The sequence below is a fragment of the Homo sapiens genome, chromosome Y (assembly GCF_000001405.40).
Source record: "Homo sapiens chromosome Y, GRCh38.p14 Primary Assembly".
In the NCBI taxonomy this organism is placed as follows: Eukaryota; Metazoa; Chordata; class Mammalia; order Primates; family Hominidae; genus Homo; species Homo sapiens.
In genome coordinates, this window is record NC_000024.10 from 26,614,147 (window position 1) to 26,638,415 (window position 24,269).

General features: G+C 42.2%; 2 pseudogenes; both read right to left on the minus strand.

Moving 5' to 3' along the window:
* Window positions 1-20,509, minus strand: part of PARP4P1 (poly(ADP-ribose) polymerase family member 4 pseudogene 1) — a 39,988-nt pseudogene extending 19,479 nt beyond the window's left edge.
* On the minus strand, window positions 12,177-13,222 carry CCNQP2 (CCNQ pseudogene 2; annotated as a pseudogene).

A 24,269-nucleotide genomic window follows, 5' to 3' on the forward strand; every position in this document is an offset into this window, starting at 1 on the left:
CACATACCTCTCTCTGTAGACTGAAGAGTGCAGTCCAAGGCACAGCATCCTGCCAGTGCTGTGTGCACACTGTTTCATCCTCCTCTATTACCTCCAGAAAGCACGGGATACTGTTGTCTGTTGTATCACATTTTATTTGTAAAAAGCAGTACTTCTCATAGCTCATGACTTTCTGTTTCAGAACAACTTTGAAAACCATAGTCAGGACATTGACTTCCTTCAAGACTGCCTACTGATTCGTCCAGAAGACAGAGATCTACTGGGGTAGTCCAGGACTGACTGTAAAGAGGCTCAGGTAAGGCAGAGGTTATTGGCAGTCAAAGGGGCTGCGGAAAGCTGAAAATGAAAAGGAGAGGAAGCAGAGGGATGATAAGACCCAAAACCTCTGATGGGATCAGGGTCTGTAGGAAGAGAGAAATGAAGCTGGGGAGAATCCAGCTCAGGGTAGGTGCCAGTAGAAGGCCTGGTCGTACGGCCTCCAACAGGTTGCAGTGGAGCAGACTGTGTGGAGCTCAATGAGCTCCCTGAAAGAGCAATGCCACAGTAGGGTGCAGAAGAGGGGTTCTGGGGAGGTCCTGTGGGACAAGACGCCAACTGTGGGATACAGTCAGCACAACTGCCAGGCACAGGGCCTTGGCTGAATTGAGATGCATCAAACTGTCTGGGAGGAGCAGCAAAACCAAAACTAGCTATCTGACAATATGAGGCAAAAGGCAAGGAAGCAGGACTGTGAGAGCGGGCAGCCGGGGGAAGAGAGGAACCAAAGGCTGGAGCAGAAACACAAAAAAAGTTAGAAGTAGATGTTTCCGGTCAGGCGCGGTGGCTGACGCCTGTAATCCCAGCACTTTGGGAGGCCGAGGCGGGCGGATCACGAGGTCAGGAGATCGAGACCATCCTGGCTAACACGGTGAAACCCCATCTCTACAAAAAATACAAAAAATTAGCCGGGCGTGGTGGCGGGTGCCTGCAGTCCCAGCTACTCAGGAGGCTGAGGCAGGAGAATGGCATGAACCCGGGAGGCGGAGCTTGCAGTGAGCCGAGATCGCACCACTGTACTGAAGCATGGGTGACAGAGTGAGACTCCGTCTCAAAAAAAAAAAAAAAAAAAAAAAAAAAAAAAGAAGTAGATGTTTCCAGTGGACTTTCTTAACTTTCTTATATAGTGGTTCAGTTGCTGTTGGTTTACATGACTCTGTCCAATTTAAATCCAATAGCTTTTCCACACCTCCACGTTCCAAAGTTGATGTGAAAGCTGGTAGTACACCTAAGCCATCCTCTTCAAAATCTTCAGAAATTTCTGTCTTAGATAATTTCATTTTTCTTTTAGCCCTAAGTTTTGGTTTGGATGAAGGTAATTCTTGCCACTCAGAGGACACTAAAAGAGGCTGCCCAGAAGAGAGAATTATTAACATAAGAGGAAAACACAGAATAAAAAGAACAATCAAGCAAACATTCTTCCTAGCACTTGACTTCCCACCCATCAGGCAGTTGCTCATCCAGAATCATAATCATCAATGTGAGCTGGGATGTTGAAAATAACACCAGTGCTGGGTGCGGCAACTCACGCCTATAATCCCAGCACTTTGGGAGGCCAAAGAGGAAGGATCGCTTGAGGCTAGGAGTTTGAGAGCAGCTTGGGCGACACACTGAGACTCCATCTCTACAAAAAATAAAAAATTAGCCAGGTGTAGTGGCTCACGCCTATAGTCCCAGCCACCTGGCAGGCTGAGGCAGGAGGAGTGCTTGAGTCTGGGAAGCTGAGGCAGCTATGAGTGCAGATTTGCACTACTGCTCTCCAGCCTGGGCGAGAGGGCAATACTCTGTCTAAAAAAAGAAAAAAAGGAAAGAAAATAACGCCACCAGAGACATTCAAGATCATTTCAGTACAAGGCCCTTTTTTTCTAGACATGGAAACTGAGACCTGGAGAGAATATCAGCAATCAATAGATTGAAAGAACTTCTCTCTTAGTTCTTAGAATTGTGGAAATTTAAACACCCCTCATTTTACACATGAGGGAACTGAGGAGCACAGAAGTGACTTGCCCAAGATTTTACAATGAGCAGTATCACTGGGTGTATGTTAGGCCTAACATTAGATAGTCATTTGAAGTAAATTATTCTACTCTTTTATATTGCTTTAAGCAATATTAAGAAAATGGAAAAACAGTCTCAAAAGCTTTATTTAGTTTTTTACTTATTTATTTTTTGAGACAGGGTCTTGCTCTGTTGTCTGAGGCTGGAGTACCATGGTACAATCACAACTCACTATAGCCTCAAACTCCTGGGCTCAAGCGATCCTCTCACCTCAGCCTCCCCAGTAGCTGGGACTATGAGCATGTGCCACCACACCCAGCTTATTTTTAAATTATTCTTTTGTAGAGATATGATCTCGCTGTGTTGACCAGGCTGATTTTGAACTCCTGGGCTCAAGTGATCCTCTCAGCTCGGCCTCTCAAAGTGCTAGGATTACATGTGTGAGACTCTGTCCAGCCAAAAGCTTTAAGGTAATTAAATGAACATATAGTTATAGAAGAATATGAATAATATGCATGCAAAACAAATTTTGAGGGATGCTATATTACTATTACTGTTTCAATCTAAATGGAAATAGTGTTCCTCAAAAAGTTGGCTGTATCAAATCCAGTTTTAGATGGATGACAAGTCCTTGATATTTTTGAAATAGTTAGCCTGTAATTTTACCTGTGAATATGAACTATTTAAAAGAGGAGTAGTCCATTCCCAACTCAGTCAAATTTTAAGTATATTCCTGAATAATTAATATTATACAATATATGAAAAGACAGATTTAAAAATAATGCTTACTTATCTGGTTAAATTTTTAAAAATCAGAGAAGCAAACTGGAAAAGACTAATAGTGATGGACTAGACCTATCAGATATTAAAGTCTTTTATAAAATTACAATAATTATAGTAGATGAATCAAGGAACAGAGTAGATTAAGTCCAGCAATAGCTCCTAAAACGTGAGAACTACTAGATTATGAAGGTGGCATTTCAAGTCAATAGGAGGAAAAGGAATAGCCATCTGGAAAAGAAAAATATTGGTTCCATATCTCTCATCTTGTGCCAGGATAAATTTCAATCAGATGAAAAATTGATGTAAACATGAAAACATAAAACTATTTAAAGTAATAAAGGGAAAAATTTTTAAGTGTAATCTCTGACTAGGAAAGGTATTTCTAAGCATGATGAAAAACAAAACAACACTAAACAAAAAAAAAGAAACACAAAGATTAAAAATTTGACTGCATTAAAAAATCTGCATTACAAAAAGATAATAAACAACATCAAAATAACACGTGGAATACTGGTAAATAAATTTTCACAACTCATATCACAAAGGGCCAATTTCCCTAACATAAAAAGTTTTCATAAGATAAACAAGAAAACGACTAAAATCTCAATAAAAAAGATAAAAGACATGAACAGATAACACACAGGAAGTGATGCATAGGGCTGTAAGAATATAAAACGTGCTCCTCTTCATTCATAAAGAAACAAAAATATAAATGTCACCAATATATTTTTCACCTGTAAGATTTGCAAAGATCAAAAATTTGATTAAGTCAGGTATTGTGGAGCATCCCAGCTACTCAAGAGGCTGAGGTGAGAGGATCACTGGAGGCCAGGAGTTCAAAGCTGTAGTGTTCTGTGATAGAGCCTGTGAATAGTCAGTGCACCCCAGCCTGGGTGGCAGAGTGAGATTCCATCTCAAAAAAAAAATTAAAAAAAAGAATCATACTGAGAAATATGGGTTATTTTATGAAATTTCTTCTTGGATAGTATTTTTGTATTTTTTAGTAGAGACAGGGTTTTGCCATGTTGGCCAGGCTGGTCTTGAACTCCTGACCTCAGGTGATCCACCCACCTTGGCTTCCCAAAGTGTGGGGATTACAGGTGTGAGCCACCATGCCTGACCTCATTATGATTCTTCTATTTGCCAAAATCACCCATTTGCTTCCTCTTTCCCTTGAAATTCACAATTGCTTATTTTGCTTAACCACACACTCACACCTTGATCATCTAAGGTGTGGCCCCCAATCTTTTTGGCAGCAGGGACTGGTTTCATGGAAGGCAATTTTTCCATGGACGGGGTGGGGCAGATGGTTTTGGGATGAAACTATTCCACCTCAGATCATCAGGCATTAGATTCTCAGAAAGGGCACCTAGATCCCTCCATGGGCTGTTCACAACAGGGTTCGGGGCTCCCATGAGAATCTACTGCCACTGCTGATGTGACAGGAGGTGAGCTCAGGCAGTAATGCTCGCTCACTGCCCCCCCACCTTCTGTTGCGCAGCCTGGTTCCTGACAGGTCAGGGACTGCAGGTTGGGGACCCCTGATTTAAGGAACAGCATGGGCTCTGGACCCCTAGCTTCAGTGCCCTCAATTTCTTGCTAAGAGTTATAGCATTGAATTTTTCAAATGATTTACTTTAAAAACTTGGATTAGGAGGTATGTTTTAAAAATGTCTCCCTCTGGCTTGTTCTCAGTGTGCTTTCATGAGCGGGAGGGAACGAAGTGGACTTGGGGTTGGTGCAGAAGACACTGCGCCTAAGCCCTGGTGTGGCTTTAGGGGGGCGAGAGCACCCAGCACTGAGCGCTGTCCTTCCTGAGCGCGTCCCAGCAGAAAAGGTGTTGCACTCCCTGGACGGTCTCATTTCACAATGAAGATGTATCAAATAAGGAAATGCCTCAAGCTTCAGTGAGTCGGGAAGGACCAAACAGATCCAGATGTCTGGGCTCTATTGCAGCTGGCTTGTTACTGAATTCAGTGGAATAACTCCATGCAGAATGTGGCAGGTGCCACATTTTGGTAAAACAGATACCGAGGGAGAGTAACAGAGGCTTGACATTTTTGATAAATTACATGGCCCATTAAAAAAATTTATTGCAGCTAACATAAATATAAACTTTCAAGTCATCAAACTAATGGATAATATTTTTCATCTGATATTTTTGGATCTGGAAGTATTCAGATCCAAAGTATTTGCAAATTTAGTATGAAATAATTCATCACCACGCTGTATTAAAACCTAAATTAATTTATAACTAATTTTGAAAATAACTTCAAACATCTCTATAAACAGGCCAGGCATGGTGGCTCACTCCTGTAATCCCAGCTACTAGAGAGTCCAAGGTAGGAGGATCTGTAGCGCCCAGGAGGTCGAGGCTGCAGTGAACTGTGATGGTGCCACTGCACTCCAGCCTGGGCAACAGAGCGAGACCCTGTCTCAAAAAAAAAAAACCAAAAATCTAAAAACAATACATGTGTACTATGAGAAAATTAGAAAATACAAGTAGACACAAGTAGACAGCCACAAAGAAGAACATAAAAGCCATACAGAATGTTTTATCTGATCTCTGGCATATATCCCTCCAGAGCTTTTCTCTGAACAAAGTACTTACGTGTGTGGCAGAGTGTAGGGGCGTATCTCTTATTTTGTTAATTTAATTTTCATTGTGGGAATAATGTATACAACAATGTTTGCTATTGTAGTCATTTCAGAGGTTAGTGGCATGAAGCACACTCACACTGTTGTGCAACCATGACCATCTCCAGTTTCAGAGCTTCTTCTGGGTGTGCGTTTTTGAAACACATAAAAGATAAGTATACATTTTCCAGGGCCCATTTTAACAGTGAGTCTCTCTTGTTTCAAGGACAGTCGATTCTTAATTGTACATCAGAATTTTTTTTTTCCAAAACAATGAACTTCCTACTCCTCCTGACTCCCCAAACTATTTGTTTGTGTTTGCTTAAAGTATTATTTTTCTTTCATGGGCAATCCATGCCAATGGTTCAAAATTCAAAATATACAAAAGGGTGCACTGTAAGAAAGTAAGGCCAGGGGCGGTGGCTCATGCCTGAAATCTGAGCACTTTGGAAGGCCAAGGCAGGTGGATCACTTGAGGTCAGGAGTTCGAGACTAGCCTGGCCAACATGGTGAAACCCTGTCTCTACTAAAAATACAAAAATTAGCTGGGTGTGGTGGCACACAAGTGTAATCTCAGCTAATCAGGAGACAGAGGCATGAGAATCACTTGAACCCAGGAGGCAGAGGTGGCAGTGAGTCGACATCATGCCACTGCCCTCCAGCCTGGGTGACAGAGTGAGACTCCATCTCAAAAAAAAAAAAAAAAAGTTAAGATTTAAAAAAAAGAAGAAAAAGCAAGTATCCCTCCAAACCCAAGACCACTTGTCAGCTTTCTGCCCCATCTGTTTGGGCAACAGTGTCTGTTTCAGACACCTTTGTGAATTAATAACTACAGCTAATATTTATCAAATATCCACAAGCTAGACATGTTATAATGGTCTCAGAACTCTTTACAATCACCTGAGGTGGATTTTTCTGCTCTCCCCACTCGGGCATTAGGACTGGGGCACTGGGAAGGTCAAGTCCAACAGAGCGAAGTGCGGGCTGGGGTTCAGACCTGAGCACTCAGCCACAGCACCTGTGATCTTAACCACTGTATTTACTGACTTTCAGTCATCTACCTTTTATGATATTTGCCAACCTGACAGAGTTAAATAATAAAAAGGAATCTCATGACAGTTTTTATATTTTAAATTCTTTTAGTAACAAGGTTGCACATCTTTCGTATGTTATTTTCTTATTTATGATCAAATCCTCACTCTGTTACCCAGGCTGGAGTGTAGGGGTGCCATTTTGGCTCACTGCAACCTCTGCCTCCTGGGTTCAAGCATCTTCCTGCCACAGCCTCTTGAGTAGCTGGGATTGCAGGCATGCACCACCATGCCCAGCTAATTTTTGTACTTTTTTTTGGAGAGATGGGGTTTCAGCATTTTCCCCAGGCTGGTCTTGAACTTCTGGGCTCAAGCAATCTGCTTCTTCGGCCTCCCAAAGTGCTGGGATTACAAGCATGAGCCACTGCACCCAGCCTAAAAAACTTTTTGTAGAGATGAGTTCTCACTTTGTTGCCCAGGCTGGTCTCAAACTCCTGGGTTGAGGTGATTTTTCCCACCTCAGCTTCCCAAAGTGCTTCGATTACAGTAATGAACCATGGTGCCCAGTTAGATTTTAAATTCTTACATTTTGGAAATTTTAGTTTTTTAACCTAGAGACCTAAGAGTGTTATCGGCACTGTTAACAAAACAGTTTCTTTGCTTTTCAATTTGTTTCCAATTTTTATTTAAGCCACATTTTTCCATTTCTATTGTATTTCTGGTCATAAGGGCCACAGTCTAAAGCACTATAAACTTTAAGAAATATTGGTGGTGAATTTAGATTATTAGCAGTTCTATTGATCTATTAGATATAGCACTTCTATTGATAATTTTATGACAAACCTATTACACTACCTAGATGACTTTAGCTTCCTGTATGAAAATCTATTTGCCCATGATAGAAGCACAGCCACAGGTGTTCTCTTTTTGTACTATACAGCTCCGTTCATACATTGTGAAGTCTCTGTAATGCAACATGATGTAATTCAACATTTTATAAATGCATGAATATTTTCCATCATCAGGGATACAACAACTTCTTCATATACAGGTAAGAAGGGAGCTATTTTAGCAAAGGGTTCCCTTCATCTTCATGAACAAACAAAGCTCAATATCAACTTATTTGGTAATCAGCATTTACTTGGTTCCTGATGGCTCCTTGGTGCTCCCCCTGCCAGCTCATGTAGGGCAGGAAGTCTACATCTTCTTTGGTAATAAGTTCAGAAACTTTTGGAATATCAGGAAAAGGTGACTCATTCTCATCCTATATCGAATCACAAATAGATTAAATCAAACAGACATTATCCAATTAAATGATAATCACACATTCTAAAGCCTATGGGTGTTGGCTTTTATGCTGGTGTGTGGGACTGGAGCTTGGGCCTTGGGCCACAAGCGTGAGGGAAAGTGGGGAGGTGGAGTGACTTTCCTCTTTACAGAGCACTGGCAGGTGCTGGCCACTGTGCTGGGCATATTATGTGAATTTTCCCCTTAAACTTATGAAGGGGGAAGGGGCTCTCAGAGAACCCAGGCCTTTTCTATTTTTTGACGATCTTGGATTAATAAAAGACAATAAATGCCAAAACTGTAACAAAATTATAGGGTATCTGAAAAATACACATTAGCTAATTATTAATAATAACTATAACATTAAAAATGATAACATACCCAACTCATTTAGAAAGATCACCATAAGTCCCAACACTGAAACTGCCCATGAATGGGAGGTTGGGACTCATGGGGCCTACTGGCCTGTCAGCAACCCACGCTTCACAGGCCCAGGGTGTGGGTGTTGTCATTAACCGTCAAAGCAAGAGTGACTTTCTTAATGTGGAAATATAAATAAAATAATATAACCTTGAATTAACAATAATACATACCCTTTTCTCAACTGCCACAAAGCTTGTAAATTGTATTATGAGAGAGTTTTCTTTACTGGGTTTAATAATCAGAGATTTCAAGGTTTGTTTCTTCATCCAGGATAGAATAAAATATAAGTCATGTCCTGTTTTGTTTATTTCTATTTAGATACTTCAGTAAATCATTTTAAGATTTGTATTTCAGACTAAATATTGAATTGTAGGTCCCATCTAAATAGGTGGCTCAATATTCCCTTTAAAATGAGATCAACTGACTTAGCCATAGAAAATGTCACTCTTCATTATTCAGCTCCCTGTAGTTCACAGAGAGCTCTCCTGGGCAGTGGGCTTTCTCATTCTTTCACAGTCTGTGGCTCCCAATTTAAAGCTGAAGAATTGGAAAGACAGAATGACTTGTTCAGGACAAAAGGGTCTTAAACAAAACATCACAGAGAAGCTGCCAACCCAGGGGCATCTGAGTAGAATAGGGAGACCACCAGGTGACCATCTGTCACTAGAACTGTCTGTGGGGGTCTCCAGGGCCTGCTGTCACGCTGGCACCTTCTTGTGGGGATGGCATTGAGGACTAACACTCACAGCGTTGTTGAAGATCTCATCCCTGAGAGAACAGCTGGGCAGTCCCTGTGGCCTGGGTGAGGGGATCCTCTGCGGAGGCCGTGGTCTGCACAGCATCGGGGAGTCAGGTGGGCTTTGGCAGGTCACTCAGCATTTCGCACTCAGGACTCTCATCAGTAAGATGGGAATACTAATGCTACCACATGAGAGATCTGAGGTGACGTCCACTACAGGCACTCACTGAGTGCTCTCTGAGCCCTCCTTGGTTTTTTTCTGATAAACAAAACATTACAGAATTTTCCAGAAACCACTGACATCCACTCTTTTGTTAATTCATTCAACAAACATTTACCACACACCACACATCCCAGGCACAGTGTCACAGATACAGTGATGAATGCCCTGACACCACAGTCTCCTTCTCCATGCAGCTGACCTCACTTTCTATTTCCACAGATAAATCAATGTAAGAATGCTTAAGAACAATGTCTAATAGTTTTTACAATGAAAAGAACAAACCTCACGACTGGTTTCATTTTCATGAAGAATGCCATCTTTGTAATCTCTGATTAGAGCTCGGGTTGCCAGCTTGTCAATCATCTGTGTTTAAGTAGCAAAGGAAAAAAAAAGATCCACTTGGCTTCTAATAAAAGACTTGCAAAGAAAATCATTTTAAAAATGAAGGTATAACCTACATACAGTAAAATGCACTCCTCTTAAATATATAGTTTGATGATCTTAAGGGATGTATACAGTTGCATGACCACTGTTGAAGTGAAGACAGAATATTCTCTTTACCTTGAAAGGTTCCTCTGTGTCCCTGTGTAGCTTCCTCCAGCTCTGGCAGCTCCTCATCTGCTTTCTGTCCCTAGAGTTTTGCTTTTTCTATAAAAGGCCATTTTGCCAATTCATTTTATTTAAAAAAATGAAAACTTCTTTTCTACCATAGGAAGAGCTACCTTGGTGCTGGGATGCCCATCCATGAACATGATCTGCACTCTGCAGGGTGAGGACGGCACAATGTGCACCACCAGGTGCTTCCTCTCCAACAACTGAGAGATGGAACTCTCCTTCATTCCAACCCTTGTAATTTTGTCATTGATAGGGGTGTTTCTCACAGAGGAAGTACAACTTGCTGTGACTTCATGGAAAATTACCTGTTCCCAGGTAAAATTATTTTACCTTCTTTCCCCCTTAGATCTAATTTTAAAAGTACACTTTTAATTTATTCTCCCTTATCAGTACCCATAAAGATCTATTTTTTAAAGCAATATTGAGCTTAAGTTCTATACATAAGTCACTGGCAACTAATAAGTCAATATACTGATATAGTGATGAAAAGTAAGCTACACATTTTTGAGAAAAAAACCAGCAATGTCTGGGAAATGGTTTACCTGGTTATACTAATACTCCTTTGAATAAAAAAACTACATAAATGGCATATATAGGCTAAACTATAGTGGATTCAGTACCAGTCCAAATGTTGCTTCTTGGTAATAATTTGCAATATTGTGATATACAAAAAGGTAAAAATAGGCCACCCCGAAAGAGACTTATTTGGCATATTTTGAGATGCTTTCAGAGGGACAGCAGACACAGGAATAGCTCTGAAAAGCAGTCCATTTGTAGGGAATATTTGCATCTGCAGAGGAATCTTATGTCAGTGAAGTAAACAGCAGGTGCAAATAGGCTTTCTCTGAGACCCCCTTATCTGCCTTATCCAGATTTAGGAAAGATGAACTCCCAGGAAGAGGAGGCTAAAGTCTGATATTTAAAGAGATGATAGAGAAACTGTTACCAGAAGTGCTTCTATTCTCTCAGGTCTGCTGCCTGCCAGACTTCATCTGCATCAGAAGAAAGCCTTTGCTCACCACATGTTTCCTCCCCTCACCCTCCCACAACGTGTCCCCACTTCCCCCCAGGAGCCTGACAATCTACCCACCTCTGTATGGTATGAAACTTCACTCATCTGGCCCTTCTTTGAGTCTCATGTGGCCCCTGCACACGTAACGACATCTGCATGTCGTTTGCCCTGTTCATCTATTGTTGGATTATTTTATAGACCAAAGGTGGAAACTTCAGAGGGAAAGTTTGAACTTCCCTACAGACATAAGAAATGTATGTATTTGTTATTCCTAACAGGACACTTCAACCACACCTGAGTTTATGTTAATGAGGTGACTTTTAGAAAGTCCCATGGTGAGGGCTGGTAGCAGGGGAGCCAACCATATGATTAGAGGGCTGGAACTTTCTGCCCCACTCCCCAATCTCCAGGGAGGGGAGAGTAAATCACCAACAGCCAATGATTTAATCAACCAGGACTTTGTAATGAAACCTGCATTAAAAACCCCATCTAAAGGGGTTGAGGGAGCTTCTGGGTCAGCATTCATGTGCCAGGAGGATGGTGCACCCCAATTGTATGTTAGACAGAAGCTCCTGTGCTTGGGACTATTCTGGGCCTTACCCTATATACCTCTTCATCTGGCTGTTCATTTGTATCCTTTATAATATTCTTTGCAATAAATCAGTAATACTAATTATTAAGTATTAAGTATTAAGTAAAGGTTTCCTGAGTTCTGTGAGTTGCTACAGGAAATTACTGAACCTGAGAAAGGGTTGTGGGAACACTGTCTTGGAGCTGACCAGAAGTGTGGGTAACCTGGGGACCTGGTACTTGCTACTGGTTTCTGGAGTGGGGAGCAGTCTTGTGGGACTGGGCCCTCACCCTGTGAGATCTGTGCCAACCCCAGGCAGCTAATGTCAGAACTGAATTAAATTGTAGGACATGCAACTGGTGTCAGAGAATTGGTTGGGAAAAACACATATCTGGAAACTAGAAATGGTGTGACTGTGGGGGAAACAGGAATTTTTTCTTTCATAATTCATTTGGTTTTAATCAAAACACGGAAAAAACCCACATCCTCAATATACAATATGATCTACTCTTAGTCCAGTACTTTATAACTAATATTTCTAAGTAGCATCAGTAGACCAGTGGGCATGTAACTTTTTTTTGACTTGCATCACCTTTTATTACACAAAATAGATTTCAGCCACATTGCACATTCATTCTTGCTATAAATCTGGCTATAAAAAAATCCCTAGGGATTCAGTCTCATCGATTTCATGATTTTCCTTTCATTGATGTCATGCCTGTATTGTAGTCAGATTCCTCTCAAAGGACAAAAGCAGATGTGGCTGCCTTGGATCAGCTGCACACAGTGCACTCCGGGCCTGCCCGCTGGAGGCCCAGCTCCCACCATCACCTGGACCACGACTGCTAGGGACTGTCAAAGCGGCAGCATGCTATCGCCTTCTCCAGCCCTTCTCCAGCAGCACAACCAGTCCTCCCAGCTGGTCCTCTGAGGACCAGCCATCGTGGTGACATGGTGGCAATTTCCCCAGGCAGCTGATCATCCTAGGCTTCTCTTTGGGCAGGCCTAGGCCAGGGCCTTAGGGGATCTCTGAGTCCGTGGTATAAATCTGAATGAGATCAGACACAATATTGTCAATGATTGGTAAGGTCGTCACCAAACTCCTGCCACCACGGCTTCTCAGCCTCGACCTCAGCGGGCACCTCAACTCCGCAGACCTGCAGGGCCAGGTAGAGCACTGCCACGGTGATGTGCTGGGCCTGGAAGTGGAGGCACAGCCCCCCGTGGTAGGTGTCCTGCAGCAGGGCCCAGGCAGTGACGGCAACGGGGGTCCGCTGCCAGGTATGGCGGTTCAGCCAGTTCTTGAGGGAAACCAGGTAGTGGAGCAGGTACTTGTGTGGATGCTGGAAGGAGACTTGGAAGCGCAGAACTCTCAGCATGAGAAGCTGACACTGCACAATGCTGTCCCTAAGCTCCCAGAAGAGGGAGTCCAATTCCAGGGGCTCATCGCTTGGGTTTAAGTACCTGTTGGACACATTGATGATGTCACGAGTCCGCAGGTGCTGCTCTTCCACTTTGCCGGCCAAGTAAATGGAAGACATGGTAATCAGGTAAGGGTCACAGGCGTCCAGTCAGGTCTCGCAGAAGAATTTATGGTAAATGGTGCAAGCAGTGGCAATGGGAATGGACTGCACCCCTAGCTTGACACTTGCCTCCATGATGAACCTCGCCGCTTGGAAGTGCACCCTGGATTCGGGCGCCGGCTGCCTCTCTGGGCACCGCGCTGCGGACCCCACTCCGCCGCCCTCCCAGGCTTCCATGAAGCTCCGGGGCTTCCAGGACACCCCGCTGCCCCTGCGAAAGGAAAGGCGGCCCCAGGGTGTGGAGGCCAGCAGAGCGCGGGGAGGCGGGTGCTCGCGGCATGCGCCCCGCCCTCGTCCCGTCCCGCAGGGCCCGCACCCTGGTGGCATGTAACTTTTATTGAGTCATGAACATCTTTGAGAACCTCTCTAGAAAAATTTCCAAGCATAAATGCCATATTTAACTGCAGAATTGCCACCCACTGATGCCCATATAGACACACCTAAACCCAACTACCTCAGATGAAGAAGTGCTGCATTAGAAACAGAAGGAAAGTAAGCTCATTTGTACAGATGGCCCATCTCCACATCGTGTAATGAAATTTCAACACAGGAAATCAACAAAGGAAGTACAGACAGCAGGGGATCCAATCTTTTGGTTTCCCTGGGCCACAATGGAAGAAGAAGAATTATCTTGTGTGACACATGAAATACACTAACACTAATGATAGCTGATGAGCTGAAAAAAAACTTGCAAAACATTTTCATAATGTTTTAAGAAAGTTTACGAATTTGTGTTGGGTCGCATTCAAAGCTGCCCTGGGTTGTGGGTTGGACAAGCTTGACATAGAGCATTATATTTGGAAATATAAAATCATAACTTTCAAACAATGGGTCGATAGTTTAGGTTTTGAATCTTAAAGTTCCAGTTGTCTTCTGAAGCTCAATAGTCGACACTATTGTACAAAAATTCTTTCTCAAATTAGTGCACACAGAGTTGCCTGAAATGGGAAAAAAAAATCCTCATTAGCCTTTCCGCTCTGCAGTGTCTTCGTTTAACAGAAATTCTTTTAGTGATTTCCTCTCCCCTTTCAATAAAAACTAGAAGCCTCCCCAAAGCCCTGGCTAACCACCAGCTGTGTTCTCAGAAGAAGAAAATCTGTTGGTGAGAAGGGGAGGGAAGAAGACAGAAAAAAATAGCAAAATATATTGGTCTTCCCATAGAATAACAAACTCTGCTCCTTCTTACCTGTGTGCAGTGAGGAATGAATCCATAGACAAGGAGTCAATCATTGTGAAACAACGACGGCACCTGGGCTGGGGCCTGCAGGGCCGCGGGCACATCTGTGTTGAGTTGCTACCATTTGACGGAGACAGAGTGGCAATTCGGAGAACATAACCTGGTCATTTGGTCTTCTATCTATTTATAAAAAAGGAATTATTTCTCTTTCAATGCTCCATCCAGAAAATAGTTACTTCACATTTAAAATAAAATATACATTCTATCCTTCGGGAATTTTATAACTCTATGGTATTTTCTCTCCCTCCTGCTACTGGGTATTTTCCCGAAAAGATTTTAAACAGAATTTTATTTTATTTTACTTCATTTATTTATTCTATTTTGAGATGGAGTCTTGCCTGTCACCTAGGCTGTAGTCCACTGGCACAATCTCGGCTCACTGCAACCTCCCCCTCCCAGGTTGAAGTGATTTTCCTGCCTCAGCCTCCCAAGTAGCTGGCACTACAGGCATGTGCCACCCCACCTGGATAATTTTTGTATTTTTAGTAGAGATGGGGTTTCACCATGTTGCCCAGGCTGTTCTTGAACTCCTGACCTCAGGTGATCCACCCGCCTCAGCCTCCCAAAGTTCTGGGGTTATAGGCATGAGTCACAATGCCCAGCTAGAATTTTAAATAATAGCATGATCCCATCCTTTACATTTACAAAGCATCCTGAAATTATGTCTTTAGCTAATTACTAATATGCAACCTTGGTATGAGTAGATTCCAGTACTTGATATTTCTCCAAAGAAGATACACAAAAGCCAGCAAGTGCATGCAAAGATGCTTGATGTCACTAGTCATTAGGGAAGTGTAAATCAGAACCACTGCGAGATCCCATTTCACACCCAGTGGGATGGCTGTTATTAAAAAACAAGTGGTGGCTGGGCAGAGTGGCTCATGCCTGCAATACCAGCCCCTTTGGGAGGCCAAGGCAAGCAGATTGCTTGAGCTTGGGATTTGAGACCAGCCTGGGTCCATGGTGAAATGCTGTCTCTACAAAAAATTAGCTGGGTGTGGTGGTGTGGGCCTGTAGTCCCACCTACTTGGAGGGCTGAGGCAGGAGGATGGCTTGAGACCCAGATGTCAGGGCTGCAGTGAGCCAAGATTGCACCACTCCATTCCAGCTTGGGTGACAAAGTGATACACTGTCTCAAAAAATACCAACAACAAACAAAAACCAAACAGAGAAATAAAAAACAATAGGAAAAAAAGTGGTGGCATACCCCTGTAGTTCCAGCTACTCTGGAGGCTGAGGTGGGAGGATTGCTTGGGCTCAGGAAGTCGAGGCTGTGGTGAGCTATGATTGCACCACTGCACTCCAGCCTAGATGACCAAGTGACACCGTGTCTCAAAAACCAAAACAAACCAAAGAAAAGCTGGTTGACTTCAATCAATATAGAAAAAACCGGAATGATGAGTGTTGGTGAGGATGTAGAAAAACTGGAATCCAGGTGCATTGGTGGTGGGAATGTAAAATGATGCAGCTGCTATGGAAGACAACATGGCAATTCCCAAAAAAAACTAAAGATAGAGTGACCATATGATACAGCAATCCCACACTACACATATATCCAGAATTGAAAGCAGACTCAAACAGACACTTGCATACCAATGCTCATAGCTGCATTATTCACAATAGCCAAAGGACAGAAACAACCCAAGTGTCCACCGACAGATGAATGGATAAGCAAAATGTGGTCTATCCAGGCAATGGAATATTATTCAGCTTTAAAAAGAAGGGAAATTCTGACACATGCTTCAACGTAGATGGACGTTAAAAACATCATGTTAAGTGAAATAAGCCAGACATAAAGGGACAATGTCCTATTACTCCACTTATATGAGATACTCAGAAAAGGCAAAGTCATAGAGACAGAAAGTAGAGTCGTGGTAGCAGGCACTGGGTGTAGGAGGGAATGTGGAGTTACTGTTTAATGGGTACATAGTTTCTGTTTGGGCTGATGAAATAGTTTGAAGATGGTGATGGTTGCACAGAATTGTGAATGTAGCTAACAGCACTAAATTGTACACTTAAAAAAGGTTAAAATGGTAAATTTTATAATAAAGAAAATTAATTTCAGCAAAACATATTTAATAATTCACTTTTAAAAAATCAGTCCATGATTTTTAAGGCAGAAATCAAACTATGAGCTGGGAGATTGACCTGAAGAACTCCTGTATTCCCGCTGGTGCAGTCCTGAGTCAGGGCTCACAACTGCGGCAGCGCTTGCCTCTTTGCGCCTCCCCTCTCACTCAAGGAAACACAGATGTTCCTATTTCTTAGCCTTGGAAGAATGTGAGATTTCCGCATGTACACATAAAACCAGATGTTTAAAAAACATATCTCTTTTCTCCAACTATGTTTGGATTTTGCATTAAAATATTCAAATACTCCGGCACTACACTGGGAAAAAATCCTTAGGATGTGACGATTTGCTGTAGAACTGATTGCATTTCACCTGTTTTAATTTTGAAGATATTGGAGAAATATTTTTGAAGTACATGTTAACAGTGTTGAGAAATCTCACAACTCAACATGAGAGACAAGACATGGGGAAGAATGTACTCAAGTGTAGCTGAGGTTAAACAGAGAAAGTGATAATAGGAGGAAAGATCTGAAAGTTTGGCTAATTTAAGCTCCCATCCATCAGAGGACTGACTTATCCTTCAAATAGAAAAAAGTTGAAAATCTTGACTTTCAATTCCTGAGGGAGGGAGTAAATGACGCTAAAAACAACCCTATAAGGTATCAGAATGCTGACAAAGATATCAACTTAATTTCCATAAGTAACAATATTACCTAAATCTGATCCCAAAGGCCTAGAGCTGGCAAAGAGTGAATAAAGTCTACCTCTTAAAATCTGATACACATCAACATAGCAAAAGGCATAAGGAAGCAACTCTCACTCTAGCAAAGAGCATCTCTGACATTTAAATGACAAATGCCCTATTACTTTTCTCTCTAAAATAATTCTACAACTATCAAGAACTCCTTGCTTAAAGGAGTTCCTCCTGAAGTATTAAAGAAAACATCAATTATTTTTCAGAAAAAGAGCTTATGAAAATAATTTCCAAGATGTTTTTCAACCTATGGATAAAGACTGGATTTGTCTTTAACCTCCATATTAATTGGTGATGATCATAACATTGACTAAAAGATCCCTAACATGGGTTATTGGTAGTTACAGCTTCCATCCATTAGCAAGGCAGGCTGGAGTCTTCCTGTGCTCCTTCAGGGCGGCTCTCAGAGGACGAGGACTCACGCCAGGGAGGACGCCTGATGGTCTCTATCCCGGGAAGCTCACTTTACTAGAGTTTGAAATTGCAAACACATGCTTGGAAGATGAGGGAGAAACACTTAGAAAGATCCCAAAAACTTGACAGAAAAGCAGAATGGATCCCAGCCCCTCCAGGCATGGGCACTGCTAACCGGCACAGTCTCCTCTTGAAGCAGGCTCCCCCACTGCACACCCAGACTCCCCATCACACGCCTTACTTTTTTCAAAACTTTGTTTATGTTTAAAGATAGGGTCTTGCTCAGTCACTCAGGCTGGAGTGCAGTGGCCCGACCATGGCTCACTACAACCTCCTGGGCTGAAGTGCTCCTCCTTCTTTGGCCTCCCAAAGTGAATACCATATATTATGATAGGAGAACATTATAGTCACAAGATGTCAAATGCATTCTGGGAGACCTGAATTCTTGGGTTAGCAATAGTTTTGATCAGACTTTACCCATAGGTAATATCTTTTGTGAAGACTGTTGTCTTATGGACCATATTCCTAGGGAAATACATAGGTATTTAGGAGGAAACATTTACCAACTCACATAGGAGGATAACCTGATAATGAACCCCAGGCTTCTATACATACAGTTTGTCCATACATAGAGTCAGCATTGTTAACTGTTCAATAATCACCTCTTCATTGCCTATTCCCGTCGTGCAAGTGGATATCTTAGATGTCAAGAGCAATAATTTACCCCTTCGATCTATATTAATCTTGAATATGCCCCTAGCTCCAGCAAACATTAAATTTTCAAAACACCATTGTCATTTGTCTCCCCCAGAGGTGATACTCAAACATAAGGCCCCATCTGCAAAAACAACTAAAATATCTGCACTAGAGTTAGACGCTGACTACACGCAATCTAGCACCTGCCAGAAGCCTCGTGAAAACACCTGATATTTAAGAAAAGTAGTCCAGTGGACCTGCCAGCTGTTCCCTCTTCCACGCTGTCCAGGTCATGTCCCTGCTAAATCTAATCACCTAAAAGCACAGGAGCAGGGCCCACACAGGACCCGGCAGGGATGCCTCCCTTCTTTATGTTTGGACCATCTGCTAGGTGAGCTTACTTCCAGGGAAATTGTAAATATATCACACTATTCTTCTTCTTCTTCTTCTTTTTTTTTTTTTTTTTTTTTTTTTTTTTTTTTGAGACGATGTTTCGCTCTTGTCATCCAGGCTGGAGTGCAATGGTGCAATTTTGCCTCACTTCAAACTCTGCCCCCCAGTTTTAAGAGGTTCTCCTGTTGCAGCCTCTCCAGTAGCTGGGATTACAGGTGCCTGCCACCACACCCAGCTAATTTTTGTACTATTAGTACAGACGGGGTTTCACCATGTTGGCCAGGCTGGTCTCGAATTCCTGACCTCACGGGATCTGCCCGTCTCAGCCTCCCAAAGTGCTCAGATTACAGGTGTGAGCCATTGTGCACGGCCAATATATCACTCTTATCAGAAGATGAAAGTTACATATCTCAAATGTTATCTTTTTGTCTGTCATTCCTTCTGGGAAACTCAGTTCCCAATGACAGGCCTAGCTCTTCCTGTTTGTCTGGAACTATTGATGCCGTTTCCTCCTTTGTTCAGGTAAGTCAAATGGGTCTGACTGTCATGGCTTCCCCTTACTTAGAGCAAGTGGAAGTCTGGGTCCCACAACAGTGTAAATTTTCTCAGCTTCTAGGATGAAATTCGTATTTCATATCTTGTTCTAACTCTCTTTTCCTCTCCTGTATGCACGCAGCATGCACACCAAGCCATACTGGAGCATCCTGACTCATCAGGTAAGCGCCATGGCCCTGGGTCACTGCTCCTCGGTACTCTGACTGGGCTTCTTCCTTCTCTTTAATCTGGAAAAGATGATTTTTAAATCATTCCTTACATGAAGAGTGACTTCAGGCTTTAATGAAGAAAACAACATCAATGTTTATTAAAACCCAGGCAAAACCTAAAAACTGAGTCTAAGATGAATGGAAACTTAAAGTGACCATCAAAATATACTTATCTGATAAGAATTTGAACCAGGAAAGGCCAACTAAAGAGAAGTCTCTTTCAGTTGGGATCAATATATTTTAGAATCAATAGTGAAAGAAATTTTTTTTGGTTGGGAGTTTATGTTGAACAAAAAATAATAATTACTTTAAATTTAGTAAATTATAGTTTATAATTGTAACTGTGGGATAATCCTTACAATATACAAAGAATTAATAAACTGTTGTTTCTTTTCTTTCTTTTTTATTTTTTTTAGAAAGTTACAATAGTTTTCATTTCAGCTTGACTTTTATAGCAGGATGCCGAGGGTCAGGTTTTACAAAAATATATAAGGACCTAACCAATTTTCCAATGTGCCTCTCTTAAACTTTTCTTTTTATTTTTTTTCTGAGATGGAGTCTCACTCTGTTGCCCAGGCTGGAGTGCAGTGGTGCAATCTCGGCTCACTGCAACCTCCACCTCCCAGGTTCAAGAAATTCTCCTGCCTCAGCCTCCCAAGTAGATGGGATTACAGGCGTGCACCACCACATCTGACTAATTTTTGTATTTTTAGTAGAGATAGGGTTTTGCCATGTTTGCCAGGCTGGTCTCGAACTCCTGACCTTGAGTGATCCTCCTGCCTCAGCCTCCCAAAGTGCTGAGATTAGAGGCATGAGCCACTGCACCCGGCCCTCTTAAACTTTTCATACTGAAATCACTCTTACAGTGCCAAGGCAAAGAGTGTGCAAGACACTGATGATGAAGACTGGATAGATAGGGATAGAAACACTTCATCAGGGAGGGATGTTTGAGGAAGGCTTACTGTGCAAGAACTGGTTCTTCGAAGAATATTCTCGTTTTATGACAAGGCTGCTACTCAACCTTATAGCCATGGGGACTCTGAAAACAAAGGTTCTGGGAAATGGAAGCTGACTTTGAAAGCAGAGAGCAGGCATGATCTCTGCCTTACCTCTCCAACTATGTACTTCCCACTGATGACCTTCAAAGCAACACACAGCGGCCTTGTCATCCAAAGGAAAGATATATTTTGCCTCAATGGGCACATGACTTTTATTTGTGTATGTCTGAAATACAATGACCTGAAGAAGAAAAAAATCCATACTTCTGATGAGACCACATGGACTACATTTGCAGGTACAAGGACAAATTCAAATGATTTTGCGTATTTATTTGAATTTCCTTGAATTTGTATCATGCCCCTCAAATTCCCAACCCTGGTGTCACTTTTGCAATGGAGAGCCAATGTCATGTGATAAAATGCACCAGTCCCACGGTTAGGTGGTTCATTCATGTCCAACTGGAATAGAAGCCACCTGAAGTCTTACCAACACTGAATTAGCAGAGGCAATATAGCTGTTGTTAAGACAGCTGGAAAATCACCCCTTTCATGTTCTGAGCTTTGATGCCTCCTTCGTGCCATGTTGGCTGGAAACGATTCCAGAATAGTCCTTCTCTCCTATCGGCTCTCAGGACTTGGCATTTCCTCCTGGGGACATCTCTGTGGCTTTCCCCCTCTCTACACAGCCCTCATCTAGCTCCTCATTTCTGTGTGCCTTGGTTCTTCCAGAATCAAGTTTTCTCCACTACTCTCTGTTATCTCTATTATCTAATTAATCTTTCCAACAGACTGTTTTCATCACTCCCTCACTCAGGAAAAGGCAGGAGGCTTTGAATATTTGAAAATTAAGAAAAAAAAAACCCCAGACATATAATAAACAGTAAGATATTAAACATGTGACAATAATAAGGCAAAAATATTTAATTATTTGTAATCAATAATCCAGGGAAGAGACCAAATTGAAAAATTTAAAAAAAAATCTAACTTATTTGAAAACATTGTCCACACCTGGATTTTCTGCAAGCTTGGCTGTCCCTAGGGTGGGTAGGGTGCCAGGGAAAATTTTTCATGGAGTTCTTGTTAATATAAGAAATTTGAGTCTCCCCAAATCAGCAGGTCAGCATCCTCCTGGAGACAGAATCTTTTGCCATCCTGCAAATGAATACCTTGCTGGCCAGTGGGTAGGATTCCTGGAATCCCTGTCTGGCCAGCCACCCAAGATGAGGCGAAGGTGCATCCTGGAGTTTCTCAGTAATCTGGGCTACGCTGCCTGCAATGAATTGTTAGAGTGTGCCTGGTGGGGAGACACCAGGACTGGGGACCACCTAGCACTGACTGGGAGGATGTCAGACACTGTCCCCTTGACTGTGCATGGAACTCCTTCTCATCCTCTCTTGGATTTACTCAGTTTTACAAAACCCTCAAAGGCATGTATGCTTGCTCTGAGTTTGATGATCAGGACAACTATCTAATTGTACTTGGTGTAGACTAATGTTTCTTCCTACTCAGTAGCCTTCCTGCCTGTTCTAGTTAGCAGGTCCGCCTTTGCAAAGGAGTCCCCAGGAGGCCAAATATCACGCCTGTGTCAGCCACACTCTTTTTTGTATATCACACTGTGTGGCTGGGCACTTACAAAGGTCAATAATTTTAGACTATAATAAAAGTATTTTTACCAGGCCTTAGAACAGAAACTAATATAATGTAACAAATTTTGACATCTTAATTTTCTTCCATTAGATAAAACCATGATGTAACTAAGCTTAACATCTTTAATCTCTTCCAAGAAGGGTCAAAATGTATGAGCCATGCACATATAAGAATCTACATTCCAGCCTCTGCTTGGATACTCAAGCTCGGTCTACAGTCCGGCTGTTTCATCATAAAATGAGTGAGAAATTCACTGCTAAATTGAAAGTTATTTTGGGGCAAACTTCCCCAGGGAACAGGCCCCTTTGGGTTTGAAATATCAAATGGTACAAGTCATCTAATCACAAGTAAGGCATGGAGGACACATGCCTACCCTGTAACCTCGTTATAATTTGTTTTGCAGGTAAGGACAATCCCTAAGTTCTTTATATTTATTAGATGGAATAGCCACAACACTGATGGGCAGATATTATTATTTCCATTTTACTCATGAGGAAAGTGACACAAAGAAGTTAAGTTACTTTCCCAAACTCACAGCACTAGAAAGAATAAGCAAGAATTCAAAGCTAAGCCTTACAAATTCCAGATCCTTTGCTTTGTATAATCTACCATGCTGCACTATGGTGTACTGGTTAAGAATCTGGACGTTGGAATCAGAATGATTTGAGTCTGAGAGAATTAAGTACTGCATGTGGAAAACTCGGCTGAGGGCCTGACACTTAGGAAATGGTAACCATTATGTTAACAGATCCTAAGTGGTGCCAAAGGGATTGGCGGAAATGGAACATGTCCCATGAGCCCACACCTGTGTCCTTTCAAATTCTATGATGTTGCTCTGAGCTGCCTTGAGGATGTGCGTATGGGTAAGAGTGGGCCCAGGGGTGGAGGTCAGCTGTATCCAAACTGTTCTTCTCACCCGACACCCCATATCTCCAGTTTAAGGCGATCACTAAAATGGAACTAATTTTCCCCTACAGGGACCAGAACATCATGGAACTGTACTTGAATGTTCTTAATCTCCTAAAAGGCCTTTATCATTGTTCAATGCAATCTTCAGAGTCAGAAGCTGATGATGAGGCCAAATCTTAGCAAACCAATTCAATTTTATGAAACCAAAAACTTAACTTTCCAAGCTCTTACCACTGCATCTGGCCACCTGGAACCCCTGAAACGCTGCCTTCCATCCTGTGAAGGTGGATGATGAACCTGCTGCGAGCTCCTGGCTGTGGCCCCAGCACCCACATTAGATAACCCTCCTGTGATGCTTGTTTTCGCTTTGACCAGTTCTTACTCACTTGGTATTTAATGCTCTTTCTGAGCTTCAGAGCAGATAATTTAATAAGTTGGGGTTTACTCCTTCTCTTTCAACACCCGGAGTTATTATTATTATCATTATTTTTTGAGACAGGGTCTCATTCTATCACCCAGGTTGGAGTGCAGTGGTGTGGTCTTGGCTCATTGCAACCTCTGCCTCTTCCAACCTGCCCTCCTGTGACTTTGTCCATTCTAGTAATGGCAAGACATCCTCCCATCTCAACCTCTCAAGTAGTTGGGACTACAGGTCCACCCCACTGCGCTGAGCCAATTTTTGTAGAGATGGGGTTTCTCTATGTTCCCCAGGCTGGCCTTTAACTCCTGAATTCAAGCAATCTTAATGTCATGGCCTCCCTTCCAAAGTCCTGGGATTACAGGCATGAAACACCACACCTGCCCACCAACCTGGTATATATGATAGCAAAATGTGTATATTTTAGAAGCTAACAAATATTTGGGAGAACAGTAGAATTCATCTATCTTTGGGAAGAAAGTGCTTTGATCACTGTCTGGCAAAACATAACGGCGATATACATGTTTATTACATAGAAATTGATGTATATTCAAACATATATATTTTATGTATATCTACCATACATAAAAATGAAATCAAATGGAATCGAATGGAATCGAATCAAATGGATTCGAATGGCATTGAATGAAATCAAATGGAATACAGTGAAGTGGAGTGGAGTAGAATGGAGTGGAAAGGAATGGGGTGGAATAGAATTGAATGGAGAGGAGTGGAGTGGAGCAGAGTGGAAAGGAGTGGAATGGAATGGAATGGGAAAAAATGGAATACGATGGAGTGGAGAGGAATGGAGCGCAGTGGAATGGAGTGGAATGGAAAGGAGTGGAGTGGAATGGAATGGAGTGGAGTGGAATGTAGTGGAATGGAATGGAATGGATTGGAATGGAATGGAGTGGAGTGGAATGGAGTGGAATGGAATGGAATGCAATGGAGTGGAATGGAAAGGAATGGAATGGAATCGAATCACATGGAATTGAGTCGAATCAAATCAAATTGAATCTAATTGAATCGA